The sequence below is a fragment of the Homo sapiens genome, chromosome 5 (genome assembly GCF_000001405.40).
Source record: "Homo sapiens chromosome 5, GRCh38.p14 Primary Assembly".
In the NCBI taxonomy this organism is placed as follows: Eukaryota; Metazoa; Chordata; class Mammalia; order Primates; family Hominidae; genus Homo; species Homo sapiens.
Window position 1 is genome coordinate 164,174,768 of NC_000005.10, and position 19,459 is coordinate 164,194,226.

General features: G+C 36.0%; 3 annotated features.

Annotated features, from left to right (window-relative positions):
• Positions 9,437 to 9,938: an enhancer, noted in NCBI's record as "NANOG hESC enhancer chr5:163611210-163611711 (GRCh37/hg19 assembly coordinates)". NCBI's record gives its function as "activates a minimal SCP1, AML or CMV promoter by ChIP-STARR-seq in naive H9 embryonic stem cells {active_cell/tissue: H9 hESC(naive)}" and the evidence as "EXISTENCE:reporter gene assay evidence [ECO:0000049][PMID:30033119]".
• Positions 14,597 to 15,141: an enhancer, noted in NCBI's record as "OCT4-NANOG hESC enhancer chr5:163616370-163616914 (GRCh37/hg19 assembly coordinates)". NCBI's record gives its function as "activates a minimal SCP1, AML or CMV promoter by ChIP-STARR-seq in primed H9 embryonic stem cells {active_cell/tissue: H9 hESC(primed)}" and the evidence as "EXISTENCE:reporter gene assay evidence [ECO:0000049][PMID:30033119]".
• Positions 16,422 to 16,622: a silencer, noted in NCBI's record as "peak5567 fragment used in MPRA reporter construct". NCBI's record gives its function as "represses an SCP1 promoter by STARR-seq MPRAs in K562 erythroleukemia cells {active_cell/tissue: K562}" and the evidence as "EXISTENCE:reporter gene assay evidence [ECO:0000049][PMID:32103011]".

The following is a 19,459-nucleotide window of genomic DNA, read 5'->3' on the forward strand; positions in this document are numbered from 1 at the left end:
AAAAGATACGTTTTAGTTCTGTGCATGTAATTTATTTTACAAAATGGAATTCTAACATTCTGTTCTATAGATGGGTTTGAAGAGGTTTTTTTCAATTAAAATCTAAAGTTTTAATTTTAATGATGTTTCAAATATCCAAAGATACAAACACTCATCCCCCAAATGTAACAGATGTTGTCATTTTCCTATATTTTCTTCAAAGGTATCTCTCATTTTTCAAATAAAGGAAAAGTTATAGATACCATTTTATCCCCATCCTCAATAACTCTCCACCATTTCTCAAAGTTAATCATTATCTGGAAATTAGAGTCTTATTTTCTTAATTCCCATCAATCTATCTTTTAGGTCTCTTTATTGCTGTTTCGTGCTTTGTGTCTCTTTGTCTCTGTGGGCAGTGATCTGGGGATTCTTCATTTACTAACTACGTGATTTCAAGCAACATACCCTCTATATATCAGCTTAATTTGTAAAATGTTGGCAACAATAGTGCTTATTTTATTGGGTTGCTAGAAGATTAAGTGAGTCATTTGTGAAGCACTTAGAAAAGAACCTGGCATACAGTAAGCATACTTAAAAGTTTGTAAATCAAATTCCTCAAAGATATACTTCATTATTTCTTTCCTTGTCTCCAAACTAGAGTTTACCTCATCCATGGTAATTTTCTTTATCATTTCAATACTATGTCTTCATTGCCAATATTTCTAATTGGTTCTTTTTAACCCCCTATTCTTGTTTTATTTCTGCCTCTGTTTTTTATTCCACACATTTTTGGTCTTTTAAACTGGATATTATCCTTTAATTTGCTTTTTATAGCTTTGTTCATAAGATTCTATGAAATTCATTTATTGAATAAATTCCTATTTATATTTTTATTTGTTGGCTATCATTTTTGTCAACTCTTTTACTTTACGTGTTATTTCTTTATTTTCTGCTTGATTCTTTCCTCCCCTTTACCCCAAATCAGCTACCTGCCTACAAATCTTGTGTTAGCAATTTGATGTGGCCTTTTCGTATTTTGCTTCACACACATACACACATACACAGAGAGAGATTTGGAGACATACTTTTATAATATGGCATGTATCAAGGTATATTTTGTAGAATACATGAGAAAAATATTAAAAGATATGATATAAGTATCCTGCAATCAAACAGTTTTGGGAAACACTGCATCAAATAAAATTGAATAGGTTTCTCTACTGCAAGATTTCTTGATGCATTTATCATAGAAATGTGTGCAAACTGTGTATTCCCCCAAATCATTCAACAAGAGGACACTTTCTTAACAGGTAAATTCATGTATTAGTATTATGAGGAACAGGCTTTGGGAAGTACTATATAATCTTTGCAATGAGAATTATTTAATCTTTAACTGTAAGTTCAGCTTTGATCTATTTAGAGACCAGACATATTCCAAATCAAGGGACTAGTAGGCCATTCTGTTAACTCTATTCCATCTTCCTATTTTGCATAGAGAACTTGGATTCTTAACCCCTTACCTGGTAATCAAGCCCCTGACTAATACCTAAGGATCAGAAAAGAGGTATTTGTCCTGGTTTCCTGCCTTGGCCAAGATCTGGGTGGGATCCTGACCCAAAAACCCAAATAGTCTACTCCACAATCCTCCTAATAATTAGCTCCGTCATCACCATGTGAGCCAGCACACAGGGGTCTATGGCATCCAATTTATTCACTTTTCACTCCTTATCAATACAGGTCAAAAGAAAATACAAAATAGATTATAGAAAAAAACAACAAAATGTGAAAGGAATGATCATAAAGTGTTTTGAACTTAGGTATTTATTGAAGTAAGGCTATAGCATGAATTAAAAGGCTATGTCTTTTTATCATCTCTAGTTTACTTATCGCTAAATTAACATATAATACACATAGCATTATGCTGGCATAGTATAGGCAATAAATGTTAATTCATATTATTCTGACATTGTTCAAGTAAACGCGCATAGCCAGGATTTCTTTATAAAGTGAAGAATATCTAACAAATGTGAGACCACATAAAAATATGTGATACTTTTATGGATCAAATTATGTCTAATAAAGCATAATTATATTTAACAGTGACCTAAGGTACCCCCCAAAATCATAAAAACTAGAACAAACATCCACCTCATGGATCTCGTACTATATGTCAAGCACTTCTCTGGGTACCTTACATGCCTATGATATTTGTTTGTTTGTGCATTTATTTATTTATATTTTTAACTGTTATTTTAGGTTCAGGGGTACACGTGAAGGTTTGTTACGTAAGTAAACTCATGTCATGAGGGTTTATTGCACAGATTATTTCATCACCCAGGAATTAAGCCCAGTACCCAATAGCTATCTTCTCTGCTCCTCTCCCTCCTCCCACCTCCCACCAACAAGTAGAACCCAGTGGCTGTTGTTTCCTTCTTTGTGTTCATAAGTTCTCATCATTTAGCTCCTGCTTATAAGTGAGAACATGCGGTACCTGGTTTTCCGTCCCTCCGTTAGTTTGCTGAGGATAATAGCCTCCAGCTCTAACAATATGCATATGCTATTTAATAGATAAAAAACTCCTATGAAGTTGCCCAGGATCATATAGCTAGTATATAAATGTGACTGGGTTCAAACCCTGGCCATTGATAAAAGAGTCCTTATTATATTTCCTCTACTATACTTTCTTCCTATTAACTCTCACTTGGCATGGGATATATATTTAACAATAAAAAGTGTGTTATAATGAAAATAAATGGAAAACCAAAAATTAAGGGGAAAATCATGTCATATTCTAGACAGGTAGACTATGCTGGTCATCTCATGTGGTCTCCCATCTTTATAAGAGGAACTGAATCAGATATATAGACATTGTTTGTTTGTTTCAGCAAAATATCAATTCTGATTACATCTTAAGTTTGGCATTTTGTATGACTAACAACTTTTGGAGAATTTCTACTTAATGAAAAAGAGAGAGATGCTGAAAAATTATCTGGGTAGAAGGCAAACACTTTAAATGTATTACAGAAATTGGAGTCAATAAATACTCAAGAGAGTAATTGTCCAATAAATGAGAGAGTGACAAATTTAGTAAGTTTCAAGAAATAAAGGTTGATCAAATACAAAATGCGCACTTTTGCCAACAGTAGAATATTTCTGACTTCTAAAGATGGGACTCGGCCGGGCGCGGTGGCTCACGCCTGTAATCCCAGCACTTTGGGAGGCCGAGGCGGGCGGATCACGAGGTCAGGAGATCGAGACCATCCCGGCTAAAACGGTGAAACCCCGTCTCTATCTCTACTAAAAATACAAAAAATTAGCCGGGCGTAGTGGCGGGCGCCTGTAGTCCCAGCTACTTGGGAGGCTGAGGCAGGAGAATGGCGTGAACCCGGGAGGCGGAGCTTGCAGTGAGCCGAGATCCCGCCACTGCACTCCAGCCTGGGCGACAGAGCGAGACTCCGTCTCAAAAAAAAAAAAAAAAAAAAAAAAAAAAAAAAAAAAAAAAAAAAAAAAGATGGGACTCAATGACTCCAGGGGAAAAAAGAATATTCAAAAGATAAGTAACAATAAACTAGCAGTGAAAATAAGTACATGGTAAATAATTCACATGCAGAAAGTCCAGTACAAGTCTCGCCAGTGAGTGAAAGATGATTAGACACAACCTAAGGATGCAGCATTAAGTTTTTATCATTGTTGTTGAAAAGACTGGAAAGGAAGCTTGAAGGAAAATAAAGACTGAGGCCTTGCATTCTGCATAGTGGTACAAAGTCATGTATTTGACAAGCTTGTAACTCCCACATGATTATATTCACATATAAATCTAGTTGAGTTGTCTTCAAAATGATCAATAAATCTTACAGAGATGCATTTGCCAATTATTCTCAATCAATGCAAGAAAGAATATCTTTTAGAACAGAGCAAGTAAACAATCAAATTTTATTCTCTTCTGAACACCATAATCATCTCTAATTTTTCAAAACAATTCTTAAACCTTTACTAGCATCTAATAAGTGCCTTTCATTTTGTTATGCATCAATAAAAAAATGTTAAAATCATGATATTTAAAAACTAAGTTTCCTAAGTAATCATCTGGACTCTAAATTGGAGACTAACATCCTTGTGGGGATGACATCCTCACTCAGGCTGTGACTCATTGATGCTCATAAAGTCAGTTCCTTACTAGGTTGTCAGTCAATTTCTTACATTATATTAGACATTAACTTATCATGCAATTTGTTAAGGCTAATCTCTCTCTCTCTCTCTCTCTCTCTCTCTCTCTCTCTCTGTCCCTCTCCTCATTCCAAAGGAAATTAAGGAAATAGCTAGACAATAGTTTGGCTCTGTGTCCCCACCCAAATCTCATCTCAAACTGTAATCCCCATGTGTCAAGGGAGGGACCCGGTGGGAGGTGACTGAACCGTGGGGGCAGTTTCCCCTATGCTGTTCTCATGATAGTGAGAGAGCTCTCATGAGATCTGAGATCTGATGGTTTTATAAGGGGCTCCTCCTCCTTCCTGCTCTCTTTCTCTACTGTTGCCTTGTGAAGAAGGGGCCTGTTCCCCTTTGCCTTCACCATAATTATGTTTCCCAAGGCCTGCCTGGCTGTGCAGAACTGTGAGTCAATTAAACCTGTTTCCCTTATAAATTACTCAGTCTTGGGGGGATTTCTTTATAGCAGTGTGAAAACGGACTTATACAGGGGTTTATGCTTACATGTTGAAAATCAGTAAGTCCTTGGCCCTATGTTTTTATCTCATTTTGCTTAGCATAACAATTATAATCTCCTGGCAATATTTGACTTCACCTTTTGACCTATGTTGAATTCCATGTCCACATTTACTGTAAATATCACTTGATCACTTTTTTCTGTTTTGCTTCAGTTTAGCAGCTAATATATTCTAAACTCATTTTGTAGGCAAACACATTTTCATATATAAATTCCTTTGACTTTAATTATACAATATATTGGAAATTTTCCACATTTCTTTTGTCTTCTGTTTACTTTCTGTATATCTAAGCTACCATTCTGCAAGCCACGCATTAAGAAAGGCCTCATTCTCCTTACATTTCCTGAATATGTTTTGGAAAGAGTTAGGCACTTACGCATTTGTGTCTATTTGTTGTGCACTAAGACAGAAAATGAATAGTATTTTGCTCATTGGGGTTTGGCAATGTTGTATAATTTAAAAACATAAAGCCTTTTCAATCGCTTAATCCTTTCTTTCTCTTCCTTTCCAATGCCCAATACATAAAACAAAACAAAACAAAAAACCAAATAAGCAAGTAAGTAGAAAATGCTTTGTTGAGATAATAGCAGGACAACTTCACTTCTGTTATTGCCTTCGTATTTAGCTATGTCATTGTTTCATATACGGAAGAAGACTAGATTTCCTAGCTTTTCAGTACCTAGTTTTTTTTTTTTTTTTTTTTTTTTTTTTTTTTTGCTTTATTTTGAACTGAGTTGGGGAAAACACTGGTTTTCTAGAATTATTTTTTCTTTCTCAGACCCAGCATAAGAAATGAATAAAATGCATATGAATGGTGATGCTGTTTGCAGATATAAAGTTAATAAAGAGAGTTTAAGATGACTTTTTTGCCTAGTAAATGTTAATAATAAACACACAGTTTTCTTCTTATGAGTTTAAGATCACTTATGTATTATATATTTTCAGCAACCTGAATAGTGAGGTACTTGGTATCAATAACCACCACAGAAAAGATCATGAAGATATCTAAAGAAATTTAAAATAGAGCAACCATATGATCCAGCAATCTCTCTTCTGGGCATATATCCAAAGGAAATGAAATTGCCACCTTGTAAAGATATCTGCACTCCCATGTTCATTGCAGCATTATTCACAACAGCCAACATATGAAAACAACCTAAGTGTACATCAACAGGCAAATGGATAAACTGTGATGTGTACATAAAATGAAATATTATCCAGCCATAGAACAGAATGAGATCTTGCTATTGGCCACAATGTGGATGAGTCTGAAGGACATTATGCTAAGTGAAATAAGCCTGACACAGAAAGAGGAATATTGCATGATCTCACTTATATGCCGACTCTTAAAAAATAATTCAATTATACAAAGATAGAGAACAAAACAGTGGTTACCAGTTTGGGTGGGGAGGAAATGAAAGATGTGGGTCATAGAATACAAAGTGTCAGATATATAGAATGAACAAGTCTAGAGATCTAACGTACAATATGGGGACTATAGGTAATAAAATTGCACTGTATTTGAGACTCATGCTAAAAGGGTAGATTTTAGCTTCTCTTGCCACAAGAAAGATGGGTAACTATGTGAGCTGATGCATATGTTCATTCGCTTCACTATAGTAACCTTTATACTATATATCCACCATAATATCATTTGTACACCTTAAATATACACAATAAAATTTATTTTTAAAAGATAAAGCAGTTTGGTCAAATTATGACACCAGGACACAAGTCAAAATTTTCAAATATAAAACCAGTGTTCTTACTTTGTCCTGTAACGTATGAAAATCAAACTGCAACTTGTTTCTTGTCAGTGCTAAGCAGCCCTTTTATTTATCTCCTGCTGGCTCCTCAGTATGTGCCCAACCTAAGTTGTTTCAGACGTTTTCTATTCTCTTCTAAGTTCTACTATTCCTTGCCCTTCTCAACAGGTGATCCCACTCCCCATGTAACTGGGAAGGTTGAGTTCATGAGCTCCTGCTTTCATCTTTGTCCCAACTCAATCTATCTCTCTGTTTGCCCCTACCTTTTCATCTTTCTTCCAGGTTTCAGAAAAAAAAAAAAAAAAAAACCCTCATCTTTTCTTTTTATGTCTGAAGTTAGTTCCTCCTTTCTGACCTCAGATTCCATCATGTCCCACCTCCAGAGACACTTCGCTGCCATTCTTACCCCTCTGGTTTTGAGCTCAAGTTGTCCTTTTTAATTGGATCTCTTCTGTCAGCTTCACTCATGCTCACATTTTCCCTAATGTTCTTCTCATCCTCATTCTCTTATCCCTGTAGCATGTGGACACTCTGTATGACACTATTTCTCTGAAATTAGTTGACAGTGACTTCCTCTTTTATGAACAGTTTGTCTTCTTCCCTTGCACAAAATTCATCTAAGAACTACATGTGGATCCTCTTTTTGCTTTTTATCAAATAGTTATTAGATATCCAATTTATTTTCCCAAATCAGCCTCATCTAAATCTACATGTTTAATTCTTAGCCACTGCAGCTCCAGTTCATATCACCAAATTCCTTTAGACATTTCCATTTTCCATCATTTCCACATCAACACATGCAATGGTCCTATCATATGAAACACCTAGTTGAATAACTACAGTACTGAATGAGGAATTTATTTTTACTTGGTATTAATGATATAATTTTAATATGCTAAAGACAAATTAGCCTTGGTTTCTCCCAGGTTTTGAGCTTCTAGGTTTTCTGTAAGTATAATTATCTAAAAAAGATGACAAAGTTTTATATTTGATAGTCTTACACTTACTTTAAAAGCAATAAAATGTTGTTGCTGAACATAATGTTTCAGATCCCATTAGCCCTATAATTTAATGATTCCGTATTTCTCAGCCCTATGTACTTAGGTCAAATTTATACAATAATTAGATTCTTGTGAAGAAGAAAAGAGGATTATTCCATAACTCTTTACTCAGAATTCTATATTTTTTCATAATGTATAAAAATGTAGGAGATGCATTCTTGTTAAGTTTATATACATTCTAGTCATATTATTTTTTGATAAACTACATTAACCAGGAAAATAAATGCTTTAAGGATAAAAAGTTAGACATAAAATTTATTCATGAAATAAGAAAACTCCCATTGATTGACTGGGCGCAATGGCTCACACCTGTAATCCCAGTATTTTAGGAAGCCGAGGTGGGTGGATCACGAGATCAGGAGTTCCAGACTAGCCTGGCCAAGATGGTGAAACCCCGTCTCTACTATAAATACAAAAATTAGCCAGACGTGGTGGTGGCTACCTGTAATCCCAGCTACTTGGGAGGCTGAGGCAGGGAATTGCTTGAACCCGGGAGGCAGAGGTTGCAGTGAGCCGAGATCGCACCATTGCACTCCAGCCTGGGCAACAGAGTGAGACTCCGTCTCAAAAAAAACAAAACAAAACAAACATTGATGATTTCTAATAGTTCTACAATTATTAGCCTTATTGTTCTATAACTTCATTGTATTTATTTATTTAATACAAACTACTTTTTTTAGTAAGGTGATGTGTGAGTCAAAATTCAACCCCAAAGTTCATCGCATTTCAGTTCTTCTTTATATTGGAGGCGTCTCTCAGATGCTTTGCATTCATAATTTCATTAAAAGTTTTCAAAAGGAATGCACTTAGTTCCAGAGTTTGTGGAGTTCCATCTCAAAGGATCTGGACAAGGAAATCTTCATCATGCAGGGAAGAGAGTCCTAATGCTATCATTTGTCTACCCACCATCTTTTGTGACTGCCTGTCCAGTGAAGATCTCCAAAAGGTCAGCAGGCATTTCGAAACATATTTTTCCAAATAGGTACATACATATTTTTATAAACCATTGATATCTTCATTGCTACATTCATAAAATGCATAAATTAATTGTTAGCATAAATATGCTATACTACGTCTGCTGAATTCTATTTTACAAAGAGATTCTTTTATAAAGGAAAATTTAGACACTAAAGTCTAATCTTAACTTTTATCAATTACTGCTTAATCTTATCCTGTCTTCTCAGCAGGTTGGAATGTGGAATACATTTTAAATTTTAATCATTGTTTCAGATCATTATATCTAGAGTAACATTTACATGGAATTGAGGATTTAAACAAATGTATAAAGTGTTTTTATCTCAGTGGGCAAACTATCGTTATTATCTACTTTTATCACTTTTCTCTCTTTTCTCCCTCCTAGAACTGAATCTTCATTCTTTGCATTTTATTGTATTTCATAATCTGGATCTCATATTTCAGGACTAAAAAAATGTAAGCTTACATTAATGATAGTTATTTCATAGCTTAGTCAATTTATTCAGTAGAACTAATATATCTAACTTAGGATGGAATTTATCTTGTACCCAGACGTCCCTATAAGAAGGAGTACATTATTGAGTTCACATAGCACACTTAAACATATGTAAAGCATCAACCACAGCAGGTAAGTCTACAAATTATGAGCAGATGTATACTTGTACTCCATGGATGTCAAATGCTGTGCAAATTTCAATGATATGGGCCACAATGTTTGGTGACAATGCAGAAATTTGGATTTTATAAAATAAGACCTTCATCTGGCAAAATACAGGGATTTTATTTCCAGGTTGACATCATAAAGCCAAAAGAAAATAAATATTTTCTGTCTGTGAACAAGTATAAACATATGTCTTCTTACTTTAAACACATATGAAAATCTCTTTTCGTCTCTGTATGACTTCACAGTGCTAGCATTGCCCCATTGTCTGTCCCTGTCCCCGTCCAGACTCATGGGTATGCTGAACCACTAGAGATTCATTCAGGTCAGTGTGGGAGGGGAGGTGGGAACACATCTGCTGAAAGGAAGCAAAGCAGAAATGAACCAGATGGCAGGCGTAATGAGGGTGAAGAGCAGAAAGGAAAATTCCCCTAAGATATACCAATGGCATTCTACCTGTGCTGAAAGAAAAGAGGACTGAAAAGGGAGCCAGCATGGTTTCTGGACATCTGAATGAGCTGACTCAGTTGGGGGCTACTGTGTAGGATTACATTTAGAGTTGGTTAGGAAAGAGGGAATGAATGAAATGGGGAAGGAAGGTAAGCACATTTTGCCTGATTTCTTTTGTGAGAACAATTCTCCAGCTTCAGAAATCACAAATATTTACCAGCAATTAACAGGTTTCTTGTTCGAATCATCATCAGTTCTGTAAAAGATTAATTTCTTCTGGTTCTAATCATCATCAGTTCTGTAAAAGAGTAATATTTTTTCTTTTTCTTTTTCTTTTTTTGAGACAGTCTCACTGTATCACCCAGGCTGGAGTGCATGACACAATCTGGGCTCACTGCAACGTCTGCCTCCTGGGTTCAAAAGATTCTCATGCCTCAGCCTCCAAAGTAGCTGGGATTACAATGCATGTGCCACCATGCCTAGCTAATTTTTTTTTTTTTTTTTTTTTTTTTTTTTTTTTTTTTTTTTTTTTTTAGTATTTTTAGTGGAGATGATGGGGTTTTGCCATGTTGCCCAGGCTGGTCTCAAACTCCTGGCCTCAAGTGATCTGCCTGCCTCGGCCTCCCAGCGTGCTGGGATTACAGGCGTGAGCCATCGCACCTGGCAAGAGTAATTTTCTTTAAAAATACTGGACCAATCCAATACTTCCACGACCAAGAATCTCCTTCCCTCACTACAGCCTTTTCTAGTGTGCTACTCTTTATGAAAAAGAAAGAAATGGCTTATTTAATTTGCCACAGTCTGCAGAAATAAAACAGAAGACATTTAGAGATTCTAAAGATATTAAAAGATTACTGGTTTTACATCATTTACTTACAGTAGAATTGACCAAAACCAAACATCCTCTTAGTTATTTCATGTATAAAAATTAGGTCAGTGAAGTAAAAGGGATCAGAAAGCTTTGTTATAGCAAACTGTTCAGAACATGTATTAGTTGAGCTTCAGTTTATGCAAATATAAGACCTTTTGATTTCCTTTCTCTATCACAAGGAAACTGCTAATACTACCAAGGACCAATGTCATTTCTTCAGAGGACAATAAAATAGTTTGCATATGTATTTTTATATGTCTGTATATATGTGAAAAAAGAAGGTGATTCCCAGGAAAAAGAGGAGAGAAAGAAGAGATAAGCCAGAGCAATAATCTCACTGCTCATTCATCCCTAAAATTAGGACTGTCACAACTTGGAATGATGCAAACAAAGTTTTATATTTTTTTCTAGATTTTCATTTGATAAGAAAAAAATGAAATGCTGTTTTACCTTGGAAAAATATGTTACCAAGGAGATTTGGATGAGTATGCATTATTCCAGAAACTACCAAAATTGAAAATGAACAAATTGACTGAGAATTAGAGTAAAAGTTACAGGTCACCACCTGCTCCTTGCATTATATAGAGAAATGGGATTATAGCAGCAATAGTGATTATACTGATGACATACACATATACACACATACATATACATACCAGGTGGCACAAGATCTCTTGAAACCATTTCAAATTAGCTCTGATACAATTTATTTAAAGGTATTTCTTACCTCAAGAACAATCAACAGTGAAATATCATTATTCTGTGATGTCCTGTAATGCTATCCCCTACAGCAGAAAATATATGTTGTAAGAGTTCGCTGTATTTTATCTTAGGGTTTTCTTAGAGTAATATTGACATTTGACATAACCCTAATTTGAAGCAAAATACAACTTTAAAATATATTTTTTTAGTGCTGAAATTTTCCTAATTCCATGTTGAATAAGGAGACAGTTAATAGAATTTGAAAGAAACTTCTAATAACTCTGATGAAATAATATGTTTTCATGACCTTAGGGAGTTCTCCCTAAATGCAGGACTATCTTTTTTCTGCCATACTAATAGTTATCCTGCAAAGAGTAAGCTGAATGATCCAGGTGGAAGCAGAGATAATGATACTAGTTAGAAATACAAGTTCCTCATGATAAGAGGACCTGATATTTAATAAGTACTCATGAGGTACTAGCCACTACTTTAAAGGCTTTATATGTATGATAGTATTTAATTACACAATTACCCTATAATGAAACTATAATCATTCATATCCTATAGGAGAAAAAATAGATCCAGAGGTGTTCAGTAACTTTCTTAGGGTTCACACAGCTAGAAAGTTGCAGAGCTTGACTTGAAGCCAGGAGCCTAGATTTAACCACAGTGTGACCCTACCTTTCATCAGGACAGCCTTAATACTCAGGAAATAACAGGCTAAGTGTGGTGGCTCGTGTCTATAATCTCAGTGCTTTGGGAGGCCAAGGCAGGAGGATTGCTTGAGGCCGGGAGTTCAGGAGTTCAAGACCAGCCTGGACAACATAGTGAGACCCTGTCTCTTCAAAAAATATCAAAAATTAGCTGGGTATGGTGGCGCATGCCTGTAGCCCTAGCTACTCAGGAGGCTGAGGCAGGAGGATTACTTGAGGCCAGGAGTGCAAAACTGTAATGAGCTATGATTTTGCCACTACACTCCAACCTGGGAGACAGAGCGAAACTCTGCCAAAAAAAAAAAAAGAAGATTGTATTCTCCAATGTTAATCTTAAGAGGTAACATCAACGATTTATATATTTATTCATTCAGTCAATGATTATCATAATCACAGCCATATAATAAATGATATATGCAATAAAAAGTTTTCTAAACCACCTATAAACTCACATAAAGACTTAAATTCAAGAAACAGAATACAACATGTAATTGAGAGAGTAGAATTTAGTTTAAGAACCAGTAGCAGAAATATATAAATAGAGAGAACTGTCTTCATTTAGCAAAGCACGTCAGAAAATAACTAGTCTACAGACTTGGCCGAAATTGAGGAGTTTTGAAGCAAAGAGACAACAATAACTCAAGTGTACTATATAATAAACTAAGAGGAGTTTTGCATTTCCCAAGTAAGGCCTTCAGAGAGGAGTAAGGGAGCCAGAAAAAAGAGGGAAAGAAATGGAAGGAGAACTCATAGACTCTACCTGGAATATAACCACTGAAGAATTCCTGAAGGTGGAAATGGCTGAATATGTTTTGAAAATAAGACACTTATCTTTCAATTTTAAGTTATTTGCATAATAATGCAACCCTCCCCTGACCATGCTGCTTTTTCACTGTAAACAAATGGTCCTCAAAGCAAAGTGTCATCCTCTGACCGACAACCTCAGGGGATGCAAGCCCTGTTAGAAATGCAAATTCTCAGAAGCCTCCCCAGACCTACTGGATGTGGAACTTTGGGCTCTGTATCATCTTAACCAGCCCTCCAGAGGATTATAATGTGTGCTGAAGTTTGAGAAACCTCTGACCGAAATCTCAGCAAAAGTCTTCTGTGTCCTCAATCTCGTGTAAGTGGCACTTTGGGAAATGGAAAACTTGGGTCAGTGTCCAGCAGAGATGTCATAAACAAGAAATGAGATGTAAAATAAAGATAAGAAATTTACCCAGAAACACAAAAAAGAGTAATGAGGTGCAATTTAATGAATACTCACCAATAAACTCTAAATGTTTTAACAGACATTGAGCTTGCCAGATTTTGTGGGATAGGAATTTGAGACAAGTCTATAAATCTTAAATGGTAAGGTGATTAATGATAGTAGATCGTATGAAGACCTTGGTGTAATTCCTATCTGATAGCCATCCAAGAAATGTATCATTTGGAAAACTCTGTAGAATTATTTATAATTTTTTAAAAATGATCCATTTTTAAAGTTACATTTTAAATATGCATAGCCCACTGGAAGACAATTTTGACCAAGAAGAGTTTTTGAGCTTAGGTATCACTTTGAGAGGTAGCCTATTGTGGTTAGTTTAAATTTGATACGACTTAGTAGTTATAAGATGATCAGTCTTTTTTAAAAAAGATCTATTAACAATGGCATGTTTTGAAATAACTCCAGTGGATTCTTCCAATCTGGGAAAAGTGTAAACCCGTTATGGGCTACAGAACCCACTGGGAGGTTTAGTCTGTGTGAACCATTTCTAGACTGATGATAGAGATGTGTTGAGAAGCCAGAGTTGTTCTTCAGTGGGTTGCTTGATGGAAAGCATCTCATTGGTCAGAATATTAATAGAGGTAGGAAAGAAAAAGCAGGTAAAGAGTCAAATCAGTGGTAGGATCCATGGAGAGTAAAATATGCTATGTTGCAGAGATACACACTTAATGTGGTCAGAATCCATACTATCTTCTTTTTTAACAGTCCCTTGTTTTCATCTGAATAATCAAATGATGGAAAATACAATTCAAATTAACATCTGCTCCCTCAATCCACAATCCTCTGGAAGAGCTACACTCCACCCCACTGCCCACTTCTCTGAGAAAATACTTTCCCCCCAACACGCACTCAGTCCCTCCTGGGATAGGCTCGTGACTCTGGTCTAGACAATTAGATCATCCTGTTTCCCAGTGACAGTGTTTAATTCAGGAATTCAGGGGGATAAAAGTGCAATCCAATTACCCAAATGGACTTCTGAGAGTCAGGCCCAGGATTTTATTTGAACTACTGGTGGGAATAAAGCTTTCTTTGTTGTTCTAGCTGAATCGGAGCTGTGAGTATAATGCTTGGGGCTCTTGGTGGCATTTTAAGTGGACAGTTTATCTGGGAACAGAGCCAAAAGATAGGACAGCAAAGCATGCGGACTAATACAATGGGTGCTGAGTGATATTAAGTCCTTGGGTACAGTTACACTTGATGTTAGAACTCTCCCAGTATATTTTAGTTTTTAAATAAAGAATATTTCCTTATTGCTTAAGCCAGTTCAGAGTGCATCTTCCAATATTTGAGAATAAAAGAACCTTAACTGATATTCTAGTTATACCCTAGAGTGAGCAAAGTACAGCAAAATTATTGACAGGTAGAATAGTGAAACGTCTAATATTGAGCTCTAAAAATGTGGGAGCAAAGCTATTTTACTAAAATAAACCATATGGATGAAAAGCTACGAGGTTTTGAGCACAGAATTCTGTTGGTGCCCATTTGAGATACTTGCATAGACTGCCCATTGTTAGGCTAAGTGGGAAATACCAATGTTCCAGCTCTGTTGTATCCATAACTTAAATCAAATTCTCCTAAGAATCAGTAAAAATGATTGATCCTAAGTGAGACCAGTAGTTGACACATTATTCTTTACTCTCAAAACTTAAAAGGCATAGCTGTTGAAAAGTGAATCCTAGTGTTGGTAACTATCGTGAAGCCCTTTGTATCTTACTTATTTCCCTTGGTTTTCACTGTTTCCATGGACACTGATGGCTCTTTCAGCAAGTACCTGCAGCTCTGTACCTATAGGCTTTCCCTGGCAGCCTCAGCTTAAACACTGGTAGGCCTAAAGTCAGGAGTTAATGACTCCCAGGAAGCAATCCCCAACCAAGGATGGAAGGGAAGAAGAGAATAAATGTCCCCGCTTGCTCACTCTTGGAGTGGGAAAGCTCTGAGGCAAGTTCTATAGCATCCACCATAAGTCCCCAGCAGTCTTCAGTCCAGTTGTCAACAACACAGTAAGCAGCTCTTTAACTCATCCTTTTTGGCTGCTTTCCTTCTAACATCTCAATTTTCCACTCTCCCACTCTTCATGCCATTTCTCTTGGGATTACCTCCAAAGGGACTTATTGCATTCAAATTCTTTCTTACTTCTGGACCTGATTCTGACACTATGTGGGTAACCAAAATACATGACGATATATGGAATCATAAAAAGCAACAGGAGACATAATAGGGCATAAAAAACAAAGTCTATGATGAGAAAAGCTTGCAAATGACATAATTTAAGTTGGAAAGTTCAGAAGTTGGTCTGCACAAAGACATGCTGTGTCTTTAAATGAGTGTATCTACCTAAAGAGCTGCAGTGAGCAGACACCCAAATACATAATCACACACATTTGAATAAACATTATTTTCCAATCCTGAAGGGAAATATGTTTGCATTTTTCCCTATCCAACAAACCTTATTTAAGTATTCTGTGTTTTTCTGTAGTTCTGCAACTTGGCCTCTGTGGGTAATGAGCAGATACTCAATGAAAGAAATTGACAAAGGCAGCTTGTATCTCTGAAAAACCATCCAATAACATATTCTGTAGTAGAACAATGAACTTTTTCCAGTAGACAATAGCAGAAGAGTTACAATAAACTTAGGCAAACTTCGCTCTCAGAAATCTGGAAGGAAACTGTCAAGAAACCTCAGGCTGAAGTTTAATAGCTTGTGAACCATAACTTGTTTCCAGTAACTAGTTCTGTAGGTAATTATCTGCTATAGGACCAAAAAGAACAGAGGCTGCTGAATTTCCATTTTTTAGGAAGTTGGAAAGACAATCCCAGAGGAGTAAAAAAGCCCAAAGATATCTATGCTTGAAATAAGCAGAGATTTAAATACCTGTTCTCAGGAATAATAGGTTCAATACTGGATGGAAAACATTTACAATGGGATAATAATAGAGCTAGAAACAGATAGAGGAAAATACATCAGACATGAACATATCACCCATAGAAAAAGATAATAACCTTTAGTGGGGAGGAGAACATTAACTGGTAAGATGCTCCCCACCCCAAAACACTTTGTTAATATTTTACTTCAATTTCAAGATAAAGACAAACATCATATCTTCTGCCTCCTGAAAAAAGAAATAAACAATAATAAAACATATTTTAACGGCCAGTGACCATTATACTTTCCACTTTGTAATTCTATTACCTTCATTTTTCTGGTCCCTGCTCTCTCTTTAGGTTGGCATATTGATTTGAAATTCAATGAAAATCTCATTAAAAATATTTTTGGAGGCAATCCAGAGAGCAAGAAGAAGAGAATGACCTGTGTGGTAGTCTAGAATGCTATGCTGATTCACACTCACTCTTTCTGAACAAAGCCTTCCCTGATCTGTAGTTTATGTACATCGTATTTCTGTGACTCAGATGACACATATGTCCCCTAAAAGAGAAGGGAAAATCTTGAGCTCCCAGAGGTCTATGTGACCATTTCCTTCAGTGATCAGCAATAAACTCCGAAGGCTTGTCATAGTGATTGGCCCCAACCCAAACACGATCCTGGGCAAGGTCCCAAGTTGAAACTCTGCCTTCTTACAATGCCTGCACTGAAAACACAGTATGTGTATTAATAGGTTGCTTGGATCAACCTCATTCCATAGCATGGAATGTGTGTACACATCATAAAAAAAGATGAAAGAACTCCAATCTATGTGGGGAAAAATAAGCACAGAAGATCACATTGAACCTAACTTACATAGGCTCTGTTAGAAAGTAGAAAGTACCTATTTCCTTTTTTTCATTTTCATAAATTGTATTGTTGTACAGCTATGAGATCAGTGCAACACACACACATACACACACACACGGAGACACACACACACAACTGTAAGATTTCAATCCAAAGCTAAATCCATTAACTATTTATGCCTGTGGTTGCAATTTTTGGATTTCTGCAATCAGACCTTGGCGATGACCTTGAGCAGTAGGATATAAATAAGTTCCACTTGCTTAGCGTTCCAATAATGGAACACTAGTCATAAATGGGCTAAGGGGGAGGAGAAACTTTGCACTGAGGTGTAAAAAAATAACTTTTTTGGCTTCAAAGAAAGTATAGGACAATCACAAGCAATTATAAACTTTTCCTCTCTTCTTTTTTAAGGAACACAAAGCATAGGAAGTTATAGGCAGCCTAATGCATAGTCATGTGCCACATGTTTCAGTCAACAGGCTACATATATGATGATGGTCCCATAAGATTATAACTATATATTACATAAATATATTTAAATATGGTAAATATATTTACTGTATTTTTATGTGTAACTATGTTTAGATACACAAATACTTACCATTGTGTTACAGCTGCCTGTAGTTTTCAGTAGAGTAACGTGCTGTACTGGTTTGGAGCCTAGGAGCAATAGTCTACACCGTATACCCTACATGTATAGTAAGTAGGCTATGCCATTTCAATTTGCGTAACTTCACTCTATAATGTTCGCACAATGACAAAATTACCAAGCAACACATTTCTCCGAGTGTAGCCCCTTTGGTTAAGTGACGTACGACTGTAGATTGTTATGATTCAATTTATAATCTTCAGAACTGGGCAATTTATGCTCCAGGAATGTGCTTTATCTTGTATTCAATAGAGATTGGAATTTCTTTCTCATTTTAGAAATGAAGAAAATGAGTAACAAAAGGTAGTGTTCTCAAACTTATCAGAGAAGATCTCAAAATAAAATTCTTAGCCCCAAAAAAGTAGCATGATACCATAAAAACTGTGCCTTTTGCAGTGAGGCTGACTTACATCCAAATGATTTTTTTAAACATACCTCAAAACTGTGGGGTAAGATACTATATATCTGAAGGTTTGTGAAATTTTTAGCACAAGTTTTGGGGTGAGAAATCTATGCATTATTTTCAGAACAACCAAGTTATCTGACCAAAACAAGATACATCGCGATTCATTCTGGAGATAGAGAGAAAGGAACTTTAAAAAAAATTTAATGTCAAGCCTATCTTAGTTTATAGCATACTTAATTCGAAACATTTTTAGATTTGCCAATAATTGGAACCTTAGTAATATAATTAATTCTATTACTCCTCACTGAAATGCTATCACAGAATGCTGATTTCCATTTGACCTGCAAATTTTCTCAAAAACAATGGCAGGAAGGGTCTTATGAGAAAAATGTTTTTAGAAGGTCACCATCCTTCAGGTATATCAAGATTTCCTTTGGTAGAGATCAATGTGAAAATAGTTTCACAAAGTTTATCTCATTTAACTTATATGCTTTCTCTTAATACATCATGTTTCCTTTAAACATGATTGTCAAGATACTCATAAATGTTAATCCGTTATTGTCTCAGCTGTCTATCATTCTTTTGTATGCTTTTTCCCCCGCTCCCTGCCCCTGTGCATATCTTCTATTTTCTCTGTTTTAATGGTTTTCTTAGCTCTTAATATTTTAATATAAAGTATAAAGCCTCTTATCCTCTTGAAATAAATATGAAGTAATTTGCTATTGAAAAAGTCATTGATTATCTACTCATTGTCAATATAGTGGAAATATTACACATTCCTTGCTGCTCTTTCCTCTTTCTATAGGTTTTTTTATTTTTATTTTTATTTTTTGACAGTCTCACTCTGTTGCCCAGGCTGGAGTGCAGTGACGCGATCTCGGCTCACTGCAGTCTATGCCTCCAGGTTCAAGCAATTGTCCTGCTTCAGCTCCCGAGTAGCTGCAACTACAGGTGTGCACCGCCATGCCCGGCTAATTTTTGTATTTTTAGTAGAAACGGGGTTTTACCACGTTGGCCAGGATGGTCTTGATCTCCTAACCTCGTGATCCACCCACCTTACCCTCCCCAAATGCTGGGATTACTGGCGTGAGCCACCATGCCCGGCCTTTCTATAGTATTTCAGTCTCTCTTCCTATTCTATCACTGTACTCTCTTCTAGTTCTCCTCTTAACTCCCTAGTTGCTGACCTTCAGTCGCCATACTTTTTTCTATATTTACTTTACATACTGGTATTTCTAAGTGTTCTGACTTTAGCCTTCTTTTCTTCCTAAGCTATAGGCTCTAGGGGATATTATAACATACCTGTGCTGCTGGTATATATTCTTCCATTTTACAAATGAGAAAAGTGATACATAAAGTGATACATAAAATATGTTATTTATATCCCAAAATCATATATTCAAAAAGAATTGGAGCTTACCTTTTAACAGTGATTATGCTCCTTCTACTACACCACATACGTCTCTGTTGGGCAGGAGATGTGTGGTAACAAAACCCACAAC